The 19658-nt window shown below is 42.5% G+C and overlaps 1 protein-coding gene and 1 pseudogene across 7 annotated transcripts in view; one reads left to right on the top strand and one right to left on the bottom strand.

The window, feature by feature from the left end:
* Positions 1-14175, top strand: part of ZNF682 (zinc finger protein 682) — a 44375-nt gene extending 30200 nt beyond the window's left edge. For 6 of the 7 annotated variants that reach the window (NM_033196.3, NM_001077349.1, XM_047439655.1 and 3 more), the window contains one exon: positions 2031-4888. In NM_033196.3, coding sequence (NP_149973.1) covers positions 2031-3301 — 1271 coding nt within the window. In that variant the 3' untranslated portion in view covers positions 3302-4888. Of the gene's footprint in view, positions 1-2030; positions 4889-13565 lie in introns of those variants that run through there. The other variant, XR_007067033.1, reaches the window with a different exon arrangement.
* Positions 69-19658, bottom strand: part of BNIP3P12 (BCL2 interacting protein 3 pseudogene 12) — a 65535-nt pseudogene continuing 45945 nt past the window's right edge.

The following is a 19658-nucleotide window of genomic DNA, read 5'->3' as shown; positions in this document are numbered from 1 at the left end:
TTGATATAAAGGAGCAGTCTCTGAGCTCTGAAATACTTTCATCTGCTTAGTCTATTCTGTTTTTAAGGCTTTCAATTGTATTTTGAAAGTCCTGTAGTAAAATTTTCAACTTTTAAAGTTGTGTTTGGTTCTTTCAAAGGAACTAGTGAGATCCTTTTGAGGTAACGAAACACTCTGGCTTTCTGTATTGCCAGCTTTCTTTCGCTTTCACATCTGAGGGAGCTGGTGCTTCTTTTCCTTTTGAATTTTCTGTCATTTGGATGGGGTGTTAAAATTTTTTTATTTCTTTTTTTCCTTGAGGGTTTGGCTGTGGTGTATGTTGTGTATAATCAGTTGGTGTCATTTAAGGTTGTTTTCAGAGGGCAGAGGTTCTGTCTAGGTCCCTTGGTTGTAGATAAGTTCCTGCAGTGGATTTCATAGAGTGCTTCATGTTGAAGCAATGTATTCTTGTTTGGTGGTGTAATTCAGGCTTCAGTCCAAGTAGATGGCACTTAAGAGTGCTCTGGGGAGGGAAGATAGTGTGTGAGAGATTATTTTCTTTCCAAATTTATTTTGGGGCCTTGGTGATATTCCCTTCAACTGCTGGCACTGCACCCAATTCCTTTGCTCCAAGGAGGGCTTTGGTGGTCTGTGCTTACCCTTCCTTAGGGACAGTTCACACTTTTAGGTCACCAGGAGACCCATATTTATCAGGGGTCCTGCTGTTCTCCTTTGCTTGCAAAAGTAAGGATGGGTTATGGAATGTGTCTGTGAGTCGTTTGGTGATGCCATGGCTCGAGGATGGAACACCAGGCAGGGCAATTGCACCATGGGTTTGCAACCAGTATTGCACCTGCAGCCCAGGATTTTTAGTCCAGCAGGTAGTTGTGGGGCCCACCCAGCTTGTGGTCCCCCAACTCAGCAGGTCTGTCTCCAGTGTCTTCCCTGGGAGCAGGCTGAATTGGCTAGGCTTGTCCCAAGCCATCTGCATTGAAATTGCTGAGTTCTTCCAGATGTTCTATGCTGCTAGGCTTCCTGGGATGGAAACCATGACTGGTCATCTGGCCACACCCTTCCCAGTTTATTCATGTGAATGAAGGGGAACTCAGCTCCCATGCTGGCTCATGATCCCATGACTTCTCTGTGTGCTGACAGTGTGGGCTTCTACCCCACTTAAGCTCAGACCACATATATCAGCTTGATATTATCAGGCAGTGTGCTGAAGACCTGGGCAGTTGGCACTGGGCCCATGGATTTGTCCTCTGGCCCTTTGGGGTCAAGCACCATCTGTGATATAAGTGGATGCCATGCTGTGGGCACCCTTCTGCAGGACCAGCCAGGTAGGTCATCTTGGACGGTGCCAGCAGGCAAAGTGGTGCATGGATCAGATTCACCTCAGTCCCATGATAGCTACAACCTTGCTCTCTCTCAGCCTGGCAGACAGCAGCAGATGGATCCCCTCAGTGCAAGATGCAGAGCCTCGGAGGATGGGCACCTATGGTCAGCTACAGCTGCACAGCACAGTGAAAACTGCAGATTTCCACAAGAGTTTAAGCTGTGCCTCTGCCTATTCTCCAGGTGGCTCCCCCTGCCAGTTCACAGATGTATAGGGATCATATGAGAGTCTATAATCAGGAGCTCAGACTAGATTTAGCTGGGAAATGCCTTTCAAGGAGAAGGAACCAAAGTGAGAATCTCAGAGGTCCATGGCTAGACTGTGTTGCCCTGGGGTTTCTTCACATATCCCTTCCATAAGACTGGTCTGGATCTACGAGCCAGTCCTGGTGCCCAGTGACTTTGAGCAAGCTTCCCATCTTCCTCTTCAACCACAGTTTCTGCATTACCTCTGAATTAAGCTTTTTCTCAAAAGATCTGTTTAAAGTATGATGTTTTACTCAACATTTTGTTTTCTCTCCTTGGAGTGAGTGTTTCCCAGCTGCATCTAGTAAGTCATCCTGTCCTTTTCTTAATTTTCTGTATTAGATTTGTAAAGTATATGTATCTGAGTCTGAAAATAACAAGTGGGATATTTTGTTAATTTCATATTTCAGCTATGTCTTCTCATTACACTGAAGACCTTTTGCCAGAACAGTGCATGCAAGATTCATTCCAAAAAGTGATACTGAGAAGATATGGAAGCTGTGGACTTGAGGATTTACACTTAAGGAAGGATGGGGAAAATGTGGGTGAGTGTAAGGATCAAAAAGAAATTTATAATGGACTTAACCAATGTTTGTCAACTCTACCTAGCAAAATTTTCCCATATAATAAATGTGTGAAAGTCTTTAGTAAATCATCAAATCTAAATAGAGAAAACATAAGACATACTACAGAGAAACTTTTCAAATGTATGCAATGTGGCAAAGTCTTTAAATCTCACTCAGGCCTTTCTTATCATAAGATAATTCACACTGAAGAGAAACTCTGCATATGTGAGGAATGTGGCAAAACCTTTAAGTGGTTCTCATACCTTACTAAACATAAGAGAATTCACACTGGAGAGAAACCATACAAATGTGAAGAATGTGGCAAAGCTTTTAACTGGTGCTCGAGTCTTACTAAACATAAGAGAATCCATACTGGTGAGAAACCCTACAAATGTGAAGAATGTGGAAAAGCCTTTCACTGGTGTTCACCCTTTGTTAGACATAAGAAAATTCATACAGGAGAAAAACCCTATACATGTGAAGACTGTGGCAGAGCGTTTAACCGGCACTCACATCTCACCAAACATAAGACAATTCACACTGGAAAGAAACCCTACAAATGTAAAGAATGTGGGAAAGCCTTTAACCACTGCTCACTACTTACTATACATGAGAGAACCCATACGGGAGAGAAACCCTATAAATGTGAAGAATGTGGCAAAGCTTTTAACTCATCATCAATTCTTACTGAACATAAGGTAATTCATAGCGGAGAGAAACCCTACAAATGTGAAAAATGTGACAAAGTCTTTAAGAGGTTCTCATACCTTACTAAACACAAGAGAATTCACACTGGAGAGAAACCCTACAAATGTGAAGAATGTGGCAAAGCTTTTAACTGGTCCTCAATCCTTACTGAACATAAGAGAATTCATACTGGAGAGAAACCCTACAACTGTGAAGAATGTGGAAAAGCCTTTAATCGGTGCTCACACCTTACTAGACATAAGAAAATTCATACTGCCGTCAAACGCTATAAATGTGAAGAATGTGGCAAAGCTTTTAAACGGTGCTCACATCTTAATGAACATAAGAGAGTTCAAAGAGGAGAGAAATCCTGCAAGTATAAAAAATGTGGGGAAGCTTTTAATCACTGCTCAAACCTTACTACGTAAGAATTTTTACTAAAGAGAAATCCTACAAATGTAAAGAATGTGGCAAATTCCATAAATCTTGCTCAAGGCATTGAAATCACAAGATAATTCATACTGGAGAGAAACACTACAAATGTGAAGAATGTGGGGAAAGTCTTCAACCATTGCTGACAGCTTATTGCACAGAAGAAAATTCATGCTGAGAAAAATTCTGATTTTAAAGAATGTGGCAAAGCATTTAATAACTACTATGAACTTACTCATCAGAGGTTTTGTGCTAGATAAAAGCAATGTAAGTGTAATGATACACATTACATTTATCTGTGGAAAGATGTCACCAAATAAAAGCCTTAGAGTACACAAGGTGTAATGATAGTGATACATTACATTTGTACATGGAAAGACTTCAAAAATATAAGCCTTAGAGTACACAAGAGTTTTTATACTGAAGAAAAACATTACAAATATAAAGATTGTTGCAATACTTTTACTTATGTTACAGATTTTGTTGTACATAGGAGAATTTATACTGAAAGGTAACCCTCTAACAGTTGCTCAAATTTTATTCCATTTTAGATAATTTACATTGGAAAGAAACCCTACAACTGTAATGAATATGAAAAAAATTGTTTAAAAAGTACACCTTAGAAAACACTAGTTTAAGGCCGGGCGCGGTGGCTCACACTTATAATCCCAGCACTTTGGGAGGCCGAGGCAGGCGGATCACGAGGTCAGGAGATCGAGACCACGATGAAACCCTGTCTCTACTAAAAATACAAAAAATTAGCTGGGCATGTTGTCGGGTGCCTGTAGTCCCAGCTACTGGGAGAGGCTGAGGCAGGAGAATGGCGTGAACCCGAGAGGCGGAGCTTGCAGTGAGCCGAGATCGCGCCACTGAACTCCAACCTGGGCGACAGAGACTCTGTCTCAAAAAAAAAGAAAGAACGCTAGTTTATATGAAAGCATTTAACAGATGCAGTAAATATAAAAAATTAATAAAAAATTAAGTCTAAATGAACATCAGAAGATTCACAGTAGAAACCACTAAGACGCTAACACTTTCAATGTTATTCTAAATCAGGGCATTGATTATAAAGAGTAATTCAAGGTTAACATAATTTAGTTAGCCTAAACAGAAATAGGAGATTAATATTTTGAGACTTAAACAATTATATTCAAAGTACACTTTTTGCATTGAAAGAATTTTAGATTTTTACAAAGGCAAATTTTGATGTAATTGAACTCTCAAATTACTTGATGCTGTGTCTTTATTCCTAGTGTCTGTATGAAAGCATGTGGTCAATTTCTGCTGCTCGGGGTTTGAGAAGTTCTATATTAGGATGTCATTTACATACTTTTCAACAGAAGATTGAGGACACTGAAATATGAGGTGTGTGAAGAAAGTACACAGAGAAACTTTTGTGGTTGACTTATAAAACTTGTAAGTGCTGCATGAGATAGATGTTCAGAGTAATAGTCTTGTGCATTATTCAAATTTTAGTAAATTGTTTTACCAATTGCACATTAGATAGTATAGTGGATTTTGTAATGCTTTTCTTAGACTGTGTGAACTTAGTTTCAATAAAACAATTATTTTTAATGTGTTAAGACAGTTGTGCATTGAATTAGGTGTTATCCTGCCACCAACATTAACCTATTTTACCTTACTCAAGTCTCTAGGTAACAGACGGTAACAACATACTATTCAGTAATATAGTGGAATGGCATCTCTAGTGATTCTTATCCTTAGTGACTTTAAACTTCAAATACGTTGGAGAATATTGTTTCCATAGGTTACATTTTTATTATTTTTCTTCTAATTATAGAGTCATTAAGATGATTATTATGAAAATTACACAGGCATATAATCAAAAGCCATATATTTCTGAATCTTAAGTGAGTATGTAGAAGATGTTATCTCACATTTTTCTTTGAACATGCAACCTCTGTGGCCTTCCAGACACACATAGACTCTTTAAGTTTTCACTTACATGAAAGTTTAATATACAAATATGTTACTCTAAAGATAAAGTGTAAGGGAATTATGAAGCAAGTAATTGTATTTGAATGTGGATGTGTACCTATTTTGAGAAGAAAGAAAATATGTTAGAACAAACTGGTAATTTTTAAAGTGTTGATAAGTTACTACCAAACTGGAAACCTCAAACAATTTCAAAGCAAATCTATTTTTCCCATTTGTATTGAATTCATTTTTTCAAAATCTTGTGGTTCCTAGTTCAGAATCTCCTTAAGTAAATCTAGGTTTTACTTGCCTGGTATTGATAGTAGACCTAATGCATAATTTTCTTTTTTTTTTTTTTGAGACGGAGTCTTGCTCTGTCACCCAGGCTGGAGTGCAGTGGTGCAATCTCTGCTCACTGCAAGCTCCACCTCCCAGGTTCACGCCATTCTCCTGCCTCAGCCTCCCCAGTAGCTGGGACTACAGGTGCCCACCACCACGCCCAGCTAATTTTTTTGTATTTTTAGTAGAGACGGGGTTTCACCATGTTAGCCTGGATGGTCTCGATCTCCTGACCTTGTGATCCACCCGCCTCAGCCTCCCAAAGTGCTAGGATTACAGGCATGAGCCACCATGCCCGGCCAGTTTTCTTGTTCCAAAGTTTATAAAGTATTCTTTATATAATCTGCTCGGGAATTATTGGAATAATTTTTACAAAATTTAATGGTGCTTGCAAAATAATTTGAACATGTAATTTCATAGTAAATATGTTGTAACATTTTATTTAGTACATTTTTTTTCAATTGGAGAACTCTAAGCCAATCTTTCCTTTGTTGCTCTTTTAATTTTTTTTTTTTTTTTTTTTTTTTTTTTTTGAGACGGAGTCTTGCTCTGTCGCCCACGCTGGAGTGCAGTGGTGCGATCTCGGCTCACTGCAAGCTCCGCCTCCCGGGTGCACGCCATTCTCCTGCCTCAGCCTCCCGAGTAGCTGGGACTACAGGCGCCCACCACCACGCCCGGCTCATTCTTTTGTATTTTTAGTAGAGACGGGGTTTCACCGTGTTAGCCAGGATGGTCTCCATTTCCTGACCTCGTGATCCGCCCGCCTCAGCCTCCCAAAGTGCTGGGATTACAGGCGTGAGCCATTGCGCCTGGCCTTGTTGTTCTTTTAATTTTTATAATTAACATTGAGTTTATTGATCTTATTGGGTTAATTTCTTTAGGTGAACACTAGGGAGATGTCATCAGTCATGGTAGTGTTTGTTTCTTTTTTTATCAACTCTTACGTCTCTACATCAGACATGGTGTTGTTTAGTCATAAATGAAGTGAACAAACACAGAAAAGCACTACCATGTGTAATACACACTCCATAATTAGTGTTCCAATTGGAGTGAGTTGGTGGCTCCAGGAGATTAAAATTGCCGTGAGGACATCACCATTTAATATTCAGTGGACATCCTGTTAATATTTACTGTGTTTAACTCTTCAGATAGAATTGAGGCCCTGTGATTATCTGCTTTCTTCATTGAATTATGCCAAGCAGCTACAAAAGGGACTGCGCAAGTTAAGTGCTTAATATACGTGTATTTAGTGAATGGAGCCTAACCACAGCCTTCCAAAATATCTAAGTGGGCCTGAGGCCCGTCTTTCAGCACCCAGGGACCTCTGTTATGTCTGTGTGAAGGACAAAGATCGGCTAAAAGAATTGCCTTGGGAGTCCAAGGCGGGCGGATCATGAGGTCAGGAGATCAAGACCATCCTGGTCAACATGGTGAAACCCTGTCTCTACTAAAATACAAAAAAAAAAAAAAAAAATTAGCCAGGGGTGGTGGCACACGCCTGTAGTCCCAGCTACTCGGGAGGTTGAGGCAGGGGAATCGCTTGAACCTGGGAGGCAGAAGTTGCAGTGAGCCAAGATCACACCACTGCACTCCAGCCTGGGCAACAGAGACTCCACCTTAAAAAATAAAAAAGAAATAATAACTATAATAACTCTTCTGTTCATAAGTGGCCCTTCAGATGGTGACATTAGAGTTCCCAACATAAGGAAAGTGGCCTAAATCCCCTGCACACCTCCCTTTTTTGTACTGACCCCATGATGTAAAATTCTGCCATTTATTCATTTGCCACAGACAAACTTCCTTTACAAAGGCAAAAAGAGCATTGCTTCAGATTGTGAATGTATTTGGACACAGGGTCATTAAAGAGGTAATTAAGCTTGTGAGTTCATTGGCATGGGACCTAATTAAATATAATGGGTTCTTATAAGAAGAGGTAGTAAAGACAGAAGCACAAGAGAAGATTCTGTTAACACAGAGTTAGAAGACAGCCATCTACAAGCCAAGGAGAGAGGCTTGGAGAAGTCATTCCACCAACATCTGTTAGATTTCTAATTTCCAGAACTGTAAGAAACTAAATTGCTGTTTTTAAGGCCCTTCATTCTGTGATGCTGTGTTATGGCAGTCCTAGCAAACGATTACAGCCTATTAGTACACACACACAATATTCCCTGCAGCATGACTGACATGGAAATAGGATGTTATACCAGGCTGCATCAGCACTGAAAGACTGAACCACGGTGGGGAAGAGCCTCACTTATGGAATATTATAAAGACATGTGCATGCACACCTCCTTCCCTGATGGGATATGGGGATCAGTTCTTGAGATGACACATTGCAGGAACATGCGTAAAGTAGTCTCACCCCCTTTTTTGGTACAGCACATTCCCCCATTTTTGCATAAAAACTTCCCTAGTCATAGTGTTGGCTTTTAAGTTTTGGAGAAGTTCTGTAGGACTGAAGCTGCATGCCACAGGAGATGCCTGGGGTGGGGAGTTAAAACAATACAAACTGTAGCAACATGCAAAAATGCTCATGGCTTGATGTAAAGTGAAAACAAGATGAAAGCCTTTCCTCTAATATTTCTACAAGTATGTGAACAGAGACTTTCCACCTAACCAAGTTGCCACTGGGACGAATGAAGGCCAGATTGTATTGAAACAGGACTATGAGTCACTCCTGGGAAGGCCCTAGGACAGAGGTCAGAGAGTTTCCATATTTCAGTCTGGGACCTGGGCCTGTCCTGGTCTTCTCAGGTTCCTAGCTATAGAGACCTCTAGGTGCCTGCTCTCACCACAGCCCAGTGCTGGCCAAGGTTAGTGGTGTAGGGCACCTGCTCTTTTTCCAAAGAGATGGAGGAGTTAGACTCATCAAACAGCTCCTCATTAATCTGAATGCGGCTCTGTAAACAGTGCCCAGCAGCCAAGCTAAAAAAGATTGATTGCCTGCCTTGTTTTTACCATAGATGACTCCTCTATTGAAGTTTTGCTCTTCAGATCAGGCACATAGGAACATCTGCATAGATCTTCAGCCAGGAAGGAAACCAGAGGACAGCTTAAAGTCTTGGGATTCACATCTGAGTAGATAAACTTCGTCCCCATTTTGCCAGCCATGACCTGGGTATGAAAATGACAGACCCACAAGAGTTTCAACATTTGACAACCTGGTTCTGTCCAGGAAGAATGCCCTCACCTCTTGATGCCCCTGCAATACATGGCAGTGGGGGGTGGTGTGGGGCTGTCTAGATGAAACGACAAGAGAGGACTGGCCTGGATCTGTTCTGGGTTGCCCTGTTATCTGTGGGTGCACCTCATTAGAAATGAGGGCTAAGTGGACATCTGCATTATCGGAGAAGGCTTTTACTTTGAGCCTTTGTAAGGCTAAAACTCAGAAATGTAAGAATACCATGGAAGAGCATGTTACTCTCTTGAGCATCTCTCACCAAAGAAGCTGGATACAGAGTTGTCTCTAGGAGGTGGGGTCCTGGTTTCCTAAGTTCTGTTGGGTTCCATCACCAAGGAAGTATGTTAGACTCTTCAAGGTTCCTTCCACTGGGCCCCTTCTTACTATAAGACCTATCCAGAGGCCCCGCCAGGCTACTGATTACTCAGCCTCCTCTCCCATGTCAGGCCTCCATTTGTATGTAATTATGAAATCACACCTTCCCCTTAATTCCCTGGGAAGACCTAAATGCAGCCTTGGTTTTATAATAGAAGAGACAGCTGGGTCAGAACCTTGTTTATCTTACCATTTCTGTGACTCAGTAAAAGCCATTGTCTATTTTCGGGCTTCCCCAGCCTCCTACCATACACAGTGGGGATTATGCTAGCATCTACCTCCTAGGGAATTTATCAGGTGTATATAAGACAAAACATATAAAAATTATGGTGTAGGCTGGGTGCAGTGGCTCAAGCCTGTAACCCCAGCAATTGGGAGGCCGAGGCAGGCGGGTTGCTTGAGGCCAGGAGTTCGATACCAGCCTGTCCAACATGGTGAAACCCCATCTCTACTAAGAATACAAAAGTTAACCAGGTATGGTGGTGTGCACCTGTAACTTCAGCTACTCAGAAGGCTGAGGCAGGAGAATCACTGGAGCCCAGGAGACAGAGGTTGCAGTGAGCCGAGATCGTGCCATTGCACTCTAGCCTGGGCAACAGCGAGACTCCGTCTCAAGAAAAAAAAAAAAGAAAGAAAAGAAAAAGAAACATGCAATGATAATTTGGGTCCTGACATCAGCAAGCTTATTATTCACAGGCTTCAGATGGCCATATTAGTTCCAACCAACTTCAGCCCATTTTTAAAAAATCTCTTAAGCAAAGGAAATTTCAGTGTTTCAACAAGTTGTTTCTTGTCATTAGGAAAACCCAACTTATTTTAGTCATAGGTTTTGTTTTGTTTTGTTTCAACACTTTGGGGACAAAAATTCAGCTTCTGTCCAATGGAGTACAGAATGATAGGGTATCATTTTTGTCGCAGTTCAGGCTGCCATACCAAAGAACCATGGACTAGGAAGCTTATAAACAACAGAACTTAATTTCTCACACTTGTAGGGGTTGGAAATGTGGGATCAGGGTGTCAGCATGGCTGAGCTCTGGTGATGACTCTCCTGAATTGCAGACTGCACACTTCGGGTTTTATCATCTGGCAGAAGGAGGGAGAGAGCCCCCTGGGGTATCTTTTTTAAAGCCAGTAATCCCAATCATGAGGACCCCACCTTCAGGACTTAATGATGCCCCACCTCATAGTACCATTACTCTGAGGGTTAGAATTTTCACGCAAATATAGGGGGAGAAATCATAACTCTCAAGATTATATATATATTTTTCTAAAAGCTGTCATTTTCTTCCTACTTGCTCCCTCAGTCTCTCTTTTTGTGTTTTTCTGTTTAATTATCTATTTCTGTACTGTATTCCTCAAACTGAAAAGGCAAATTCCAATGCTACGAGATGCTCTATGTACAGACCCACATAAAAAGAACTGAGGGAGTGCTCAGGCCAATAGATGGAAGAAACGTGGGCTCTCAGGCCACACAAAGTCTTGCCAATTTCCACATGAGTGAGTTTAAAGCTGATCCTTCCCCAGTCCAGCTTCTGTTGAGAAGTCCAGCTTCTTATGAGGCCTAAGCCTCCTAAAGACCTTGAGGAAGAGGCACCCCACTAAACTGTGTCCAGTTTCTGGTCCCCACAAATTGTGAGATAGTATTTGTTGTTGAAAGGTGCTAAGTTTCAGGGCAATGTTGTAAGAAAGAAGCAGATAACTAGCTTCATCTCCCAGGCCCCAAGATTCTCCATCCTTCTGCTTCTCTGTCTCAGGCTCTCTGCGGCCATAGTGGTCCCTTTCTAACTTCTGCCCAACTCACACCTGTGAGATTCTTTACTAAGGGTGGCTTCTTCTGACACATTCTTTTGCAGCGCTGGCTCCCTATTGTCATTGTCATCATGGTATAAATGTCATCTCAGTGAGGCATTTGGGTCACTCCATGTCATGATTTCCCAGCTCTTCTGTCAACATTCTACTTTATATTATAGCAGTTGCTCTTTTCTTTCACGTATACTTGCTTTAGTGTTTTTGGTCACCTGTCCTCAGACTGGTCCTCAGGGTACGGTGCAGGTATGATTCAATCATTTTCTGTACCACATGTTGGGTCCACCAGGGTAGCTGGCACAGGGTGAGTGTAAGGGAAAGACTGGCTAAGTGAATGCATGGGGGAATCTCAAATTCTCCTTCCTGCTTTTGACCACTTGATAATATGGGGATCGTTAATAATAACTCAAGGTGCATGACCTCGGTGTGACTTCTTTGCTCCAGCTGCTCCAGCAAAGCTCAGTGGGCACCAAAAACCCAGAAGGCTCTCACCACCTAGAGGCCATCACTGGCACTGCAGCCCCATGCAGGAGCCTCACAGAACAAAGCTATTTTTATGTTTGGGTCCTCAAGACACTGGCTCTCCAGGGTCCCAGGGGACAAAGGAGCAGCATCCGGAGGCTCCAAGTGCGATAAGAGTAACCTTGGAAGCCTCCGTTGTCCTCTCTTTGCCTCCACCTTTTGGGGTGTGCTCTTTACTCATGAGGGACAACCCCTCATCCAGGGAAACTGTTTTCTACCACTTCCAAATGATCATCTCAAGAACACAACAGGAACTAGTATTTTCCCTGGGCTTCAGACTCAGAGTCCAGTTATATGGCACATTTCGCTCTATCTCAGCTTTATCTACCCAAGATGCCTCTGGGGTGACCATGCCTCACTCTGAAGGACTTCCAGGGAGTAGAAGCATTTTTGCAGTCTCAGAGCAAAGAGTCTTGGTTCACCAATGAAGAACAAAGGCCAGCAGACACTTATGGGTATGTGAAACCATTGAGGTCACCCACTTCAAGTACTCTTATTTATGAGGTATGAAAAGGCTTTGCTGTAGCCATTGTCTATGCTAGGCTGAGATGGGGACATAGCTCATTTCCATTTCAGGTACCTACAGAGTTGGACAGTAGGACCCCAGTCCTGTCCTCTTGAAACTGACCTGGAGATGACCCCAGCTGATGGAGAACCCTGGAAACCTGGAGGATCCTCCTGCTCATTCTCTGTGCCCCTGGACACGTAGCTAGAGGAGTGCATGCACTGGCTTATAGCAGAGCTGCCACTATTCTGGGTTTTTTTTTTTTTCCTTGTCTTATGCCTGGTTTCTGTCTGCCTCTTCTCTATCCTCGCTTCCATGATCTTTCCCTGAGAAGTGTTTCTGTGTGTGTGTCTGTGTGTGCTTATCTGAGAATATGGAGACAAAAATAGCCCATGTGGAGAAGGAGAGCACAGGGCTTTCTATTATTTAGGGGCTCTAATTTCCAGCCTCTTTTGGGGCCTCAGTTTCCCAATTTTAAAATGAGAAATTGGGATGGTTTTTCTTTTTTTTAATTTCAATAGGTTTTAGGGGAACGGGTGGTGTTTGGTTACATGGCTAAGTTCTTTAGTGGTGGTTTCTGAGATTTTGACGCACCCATCATCTGAGCAGTAAACACTACCCAGTGTGTAGCCTTTTATCCCTTACCCACTCCCATTTTTCCTCCCCGAAAATTCATGTATCATTCTTATGCCTTTGCATCCTCATAGCTTAGCTCCCACTTATAAATGAGAATACATGATGTTTGGTTTATCATTTCTGAGTTACTTTACTTAAAATAATGGTCTCCAACTCCACCCAGGCTGCTGAGAATGCCATTATTTTGTTCCATTTTATGGCTGAGTAGTATTCCATGGTATACCTGTACCACATTTTCTTTATCCACTCAATATTGATGGGCATTTTATCTAGTTCCATATTTTTGCAATTGCAAATAGTGCTGCTATAAACATGCATGTGCAAGTGTCTTTTTCATATAATGACTTCCTTTCCTCTGGGGAGATAGCCATTACTGAGATTGCTGGAACAAATGGTAGATAACCTTTAGTTCTTTAAGGAATCTCCATACTGTTTTCCATAGTGGTTGTAACTGCAGAAGCATATGCTCCTCAAGAACATGGATTCAGACTCCTCAATAGTTGATGAAATATTGGAGTGGGATGGGTTTGTGTGCCCATGGGTGCTCAAGCCTCCTTACATCGCTAATGCAGATGGACATAGAGCTTGAGGCAGCAAGGTCTCTTTTCCTGAGCTGGCTGATTTCAATACAATGAACCAAGGTCTCTGATCTTGAAGCTGGTCCCACAAGACACCCCACCTTCAGCCACCATCTGCTCTGTGCCTCCCATATCCTGTGGGGCCCATGGCAACCCCATGACAATGAGGGAGCACAGGGCACTGGAACTGTGGGCCTGGGGAAGACACAAACACTTTTCTATTTCTCCCAAACTTTCGAGTGTGTTGTCAGATACTTAATTTTGATTATGACTGAGATGTTATGTTCATGTATTTACAACTGTTTAAATGTAATATATTTTGCAAACTGTGGGATAATGTTTTTCACTTTTTTTTTTTTTTCCTCTTCATGTGTTCACAGATGGGTGGCCAACTCTGGAGCCCAGCCTGTTACTGCCCACTCTGGTGGTGAATCCTCCATAGTCTGGTATGGAGGTAAAGTTAAATATTAAATTTGAACTTAATTGAATCTGGACACAAACAATGGTCACCAAGTCCTGGAACAGGTTGTGTGAGCCCCTTGAGGCATTCATCCCGCGCTGTTTCAGAGAAATCTCTAATTCAATCTATTCCTATACATTCATTATTGAAAAACAATAGTCAAGCACAAAAACAAGTTGACCTTTTTGCGTTCCTTGAGCCCATTCGTAAAAGGCCCTCATGACTAAGCCTCATGCCAAAAAACTCATTACAAAAGAGCTAGGGTCCCAGATAGCGCCAAAGCTTCATGAGACCTCTCCTCATCTGTGCGCGGATGAGTGGCCGACTCTGGAGCCCAGGTTGTTTCTTCCCAGTCTGGTGGTGTAAATATATACAGTCTGGTGAGTGTAAACCTTTTCCATTCTCCTCTTCCCATTGCAATTTGCTTATTATGTCTGCAATCTGCTTATTATATTGATTTGCTTATTATATTATTTGTTTATTATATCTGCATTGCCATTTACGTGGTATAAAACTTCTTACCCTTAAAAGTATTGTGTGTGGGTCTTTTCTTCTCCCCTCGCGGGTTTCCTGCACAGAACATTTTTGGTGTCACAAACAGTATTTGGAAACAAAAGTATGCCGCTTTTTGGCCAGAAGGATGGGGCTGGAGGCTCAGGGACTTCCCATGTCTCAGGATGGGAACTCCCCCAGTTTTCCCCCTTGGCAACTGAATGGTCAAGGGGAACTGGCCTTTGTGAGAACTGAGAATCTAAATTAGTGCAATTTAAACCTTTGACTGTGCGGGAAGTGCTGCAGGAGATTCCAGTCAGCAAAGGAGATGCTGAGGGATCTCCCAGAGTGGATGGTGTTTGCTTACTGCTTATAAGTTAATGTGTCAAGATACGGGCTGGTTGCTATAAGAGAAATGTAAGTTGGAAAAGGAAAATGCCAGTGTGATTTCCAGACTGGCCCTGGCCCAATGCCAGGCCTATATCTTGACTGATCAGGCTCAAAGCTATCACCCTATTGCTGAAAAAAAGCAGCTGTCAGAATGACTCGGTCAGGTTAAAACTGAAGAACTACTTTGCTGGGGCTTGGAGCAGGTAAAAACCCAGCTCCTATCTCAAGGATGGGAAATTAAGCTTAGCAAAATTCAAGGACCTGCACAAACTGTAAAATACCTTGGCATCCTATGGAATGCAGAGATATAGTCCATCTTACAAAAGGTAAAGGGGCTAAAATACTAGAATTTGCAACCCCTACCACTAAAAAGGAGGCCCAGACATTTATTGACATCTCTGGATTCTGGAGACATCATATTCCTCACTTGAGTAATATTTTACAACCTCTGCATGCAGCCACTAGAAAACACTATGACTTTCATTGGGGAGAGACAGACAGCATGGCTTCTGAACAAGATAAACAAGCGGTGCAACTGGCCCTGGATCTATGGTCCATACAGGATGGGCCAGGAGAACTGCAAGTAACTGTCCTAGATCAACAGGCTAATTGGAGCCTTAGAAACAAGATGGGAAGAGGGTACCTTTCAGGTTTTGGACCCAGAAACTGCCAGAGGCCAGAAAAGCTTATACCCCTTTCGAGAAGCAATTGTTAGCTTGCTATTGGGCTTTGCTGGAAATGGAACACCTCTGCTTCAACCATGATGTCTTTATGAGGCCCGAAATTCCTATTATGACTTGGGACTTGAGTTCCCCCAAAACCCATCAGATAGGACATGTCCAAGAAAGTAGCATCATAAAATGGACATGGTACATACAAGACCAGGCTAAGTCAAAACCAAAGTGAGTATCACTTTTACATAAGGATGTACAAAATCTCCCAGCTCAGGAAACCACCGAGCAAGTCCTGCAGATAGGGAAGGAAACCTCCCCCACCCAATGGGGCAAATCCTTTAAAGAACTAAGCCCAGAGGATCAGAAACATGCTTGGTTTACTGATGCATCCACCAAATACATTGGTGGGAATCAATGCTGGAAGGCTGTGGCTTATAATCCTATTAAAAACAAAAGCATTTCTGATGAAGGAAGGGGTGGGAGCAGCCAGTTAGCTGAACTAGTAGCGGTTCCCCTGAGCTATTCAGAAGGAGACCAGAGGGATTTTTCACTTCTATACCAACTCTTGGTCAATACCAAATGGTCTTACTACCTGGATGCCCCAGGCAACAAAGCAAATGGTTAATTGGGAATAAAGAGGTTTGGGGAAAACAATACTGGGGAGATATCTCAATCCTAGCACACACTACCATTATCACTGGTTTTTTGTTTTGTTTTGTTTTGTTTTTTGTTTTTTTTTTTGAGATGGAGTCTAGCTCTGTCACCATTCTGGAGTGCAGTGGCACAATCTCGCTCACTGCAACCTCTGCCTCCGGGGTTCAAGCAATTCTCCTGCCTCAGTCACCCAAGTAGCTGGAATTACAGGCACGCACCACCATGCCCAGCTAATTTTTGTACTTTTAGTAGAGACGGGGTTTCACCATGTTGGCCAGGATGGTCTCGATCTCCTGACCTCGTGATCCACCTACCTGGGCCTCCCAAAATGCTGGGATTACAGGCGTGAGCCACCGCACCCGGCCCTGTTTTCCATATTGATGCTCATGAGTCTCTGCTTTCTCTTGACAGACTACTTAATCAGCAGGAAGAACAGCAGGCCAAAATTTCCACCATAACGGTAAACATGAATGCGGATGAATGGATTACAACGTGTTCAAGCCTTGCAATGAGAGGCATTATAATGTATGGTGCTATAATTGATAGCGATTACCAGGGAGAGTTAAAGGTCATTTTATACACTCCAGATTCTTTTGCTCTAAAACCACAAATGTGGGTTGCTCAATTGTTAGTGGTACCTTGTCAACAACCCCTGAGGAAATCTCTGCCCCAACAGAGGCTACATACAGAACTGGGGGATTCGGATCCCCTGGTACAGGTAGCTTAAATCCTGGAGCTGAAATATGGGTACAGCGTCCATCAGATCCTGACCCTAAGGCTGGTGACTTTGTAGCTATGAAAGCAGGAAATGAAGGCATAGTACAATTTCCTAAAGATGAAAAACAATATCTTGTTCCCCTCTGTTTTTGTTATTACAAGAAATAATCTATCTACTACTCGTCAGCACCTGTGTCTTTGTGTCTGAAGCCAAGAATAAATTCATCAACTTGGTAGCCACTGCTGCAACTGAAGCCAACCGCAGTCAATGTTGGCTATATGTTGAGTTGCCGGAGGCCGCCTGGAATGTGCTACCTTGCAGAATTGTCCCTGACAACATTTCTGAATGGCTATATTGTTACCAGTAGGGCCACAACAACAACAACACTTGCAATCCAACCTGGGCTTCCTTTCACCACACTAAGCAATCTATCTTTGCCAAGTCAGACAAAAGATGAACTCCACCCTCCCCTTGCATCAAAAGCCTTGGTATCCTGCCCAATAATCCTGGAATGGAATATACTGAAAACCTGCTGTGCTGGTGGCCGGATTCCATACAGTTCCCACTCTGTCTGGAGACCTTAAATGGCTCCTCTAATGTTTATTTGGGGTTTCTTCAGACATTTGTCAACACATACTCCAAATCAACAACATTGCCCCCAATGAACCACAATCTCTTTCCTATTTTAATAAGAGATTAGTACACTATGATTACAGTAGATCCATTGCTGTCCCCTGGGGGGCCCTCTGGGTATGCAGATCCTATGGGTGGTGATACCTGTCCCTGCATTGGATGGGGAGATGCACTTGGGGGTGGCCATTAATTACATTCACCATCCAGGTTAATATTCCCCTCCCCAGTAATCTAGATGCTTACAAACATCGCTGGTTACCAATGCACTGGACTCCCTGGTGGTGGTACCCTATCACAGTATTCTCCCCTGCCGCCCGTACAATCTTGCTTCAGCAACAAATTAAAAGATTTACCTTACATGTAGAAAAAGCTCTTAATGATAGTAGCACTGAATTTATGTTGTTATCAGATGAATTTGCTCATCTGAGTACTGTTGTGTTGCAAAATCAAATGGCATTAGATATGCTTACCGCAACCCAAGGAGGGGTTTGCACCTTACTGCATACTGAATGTTGTGTGTATATCTCTGGCAGTTCTCACAATATGACTCTCCTTGCAAAGCCATGGTGGGTGTGGTTTTTATTAATTGTGCTTTTAATTCTCTTGTCCTTACCCTGTATCTGTAATCTATATCAATTATGCCTTCCCCTTGTATCTGTAAGGGTATTTTCCTACAATTGAGTATCCAATTGAGGCCGAATGTAGAGGACATGTTAAATATTAAATTTGAACTAAATTGAACATGGACACAAACAATGGTCACCAAGTCCTGGCACAGGTTGTGTGAACCCCTTGAGGCGTTCATCCAGCGCTATTTCAGAAAGAATCTCTATTTCAATCTATTCCTATACGTTAGTTATTGAAAAACAATAGACAATCACAAAAACAACTTGACCTTTTTGTGTTCCCTGAGCCCAGTCGCAAAGGGCCCTCATCACTGGGCCTCATGCCAAACAACTTGTTACAAAAAGAGACAGGGTCCAAGACTGCACCAAGGCTTCAAGAGACCTCTCCTTGTTTGTGCACAGATGGGTGGCCGACTCTGGAGCCCAGGCTGTTGCTTCCTGGTGTGGTGACGAATCCCCCATAGTCTGATGAGTGTAACTATATCTGATCCTTTTGAACAAGGTACTTTGCTATTCCTTTTATGACCCCACCTCCTACCTCCAGCGAAAATGTCCTTGGCACTGTCTCTTCCAACATCAGAGAGAGACACCACTTATGGTGGTGTGATGGGACACGTTTCTGGTGGTGGCACCAGCATATATTAGATGTGCTTGGGCTTAACACCAAAGAGTTACAACAGGCTGTTAAATGGAATATTATGAGGACTACATATTTTTAAATAGGGTGAACTATGGACCACATAGTTTGGTTTTGTACATTTATTTACATATTTTCCCTTCTCCCTTTCCCATTGCAATTTGCTTATGATATCAATTTGCTTATTATATCTGCATTGCCTTTTAGGTGGGATAAAGCTTGTTTACCCTTAATGGTATTGTGTGTGTGTTTTCTTCTCCCCTCATGCATTTCCTGCCCAGAACACCATATTTCTCAGAGGCCTTATTTGTTCCTTTTTATTCTTTTTTCTTTAATCTTGTCTGCTTGCCTCATTTTGGCAAGGTGGTCTTCAAACTCTGATAGCCTTTCTTCTGCCTGTCAATTAGGCTATTGATACTTTTGTATGCTTCATGAAGTTCTCATGCTGTGTTTTTCAGCTCCATCAGGTCATTTATGTTCCTCTCTAAACTGGTTATTCTACTTAGCATTTCCTCTCACCTTTTATCAAGTTCCTTAGCTTCTTTGCATTGGGTTAGAACATGTTCCTTTAGCTCAGCGGAGTGTGTTATCACACATCTTCTGAAGCCTACTTCTGTCACTTCATCCATCTCATCCTCTGTCCAGTTCTGTGAATTTGCTGAAGAGACATTGTGATCATCTCTAGGAGATAAGGCCTTTCAGAGGGTTTTGGTGATTCTTTCTCATCTTCATGAGTTTGTCTAATTTCAACATTTTGAGGCAGCTGACCCTTGGATGAGTTTTTTTGTTTGTTTGTTTTGAGACAGAGTCTCACTCTGTCACCCAGTATGGAGTGCAGTGGCACAGTCTTGGGTCAATGCAACCTCTGCCTCCCAGGTTCAAATGATTCTCATGTCTCAGGCTCTCGAATAGCTGGGACTACAGGCATGCACCACCACACCTGTTTAAGTTTTGTATTTTTTAGGAGAGACTGGGTTTCGCTACATTGGCAGGGTGGTCTCGAGCTCCTGACCTCAAGCAATCTGCCTGCCTCAGCCTCCCAAAGTATTGGGATTACAGATGTGAGCCACTATGCCCAGCCTTGGATGGGGTTTTTGTGGGTACGCTTTTGTTGTTGATGCTGTTGTTGTTTCTTCCTGTTTGTTTGTTTGTTTTTCTTTCAATAGTCAGGTCCCTCTTCTGTAGGGCT

The sequence above is a fragment of the Homo sapiens genome, chromosome 19 (assembly GCF_000001405.40).
Source record: "Homo sapiens chromosome 19, GRCh38.p14 Primary Assembly".
NCBI lineage: Eukaryota > Metazoa > Chordata > Mammalia > Primates > Hominidae > Homo > Homo sapiens.
The sequence above is the reverse complement of the archived record's forward strand: the minus strand, read 5'-3'. Positions and strand labels throughout refer to the sequence as shown.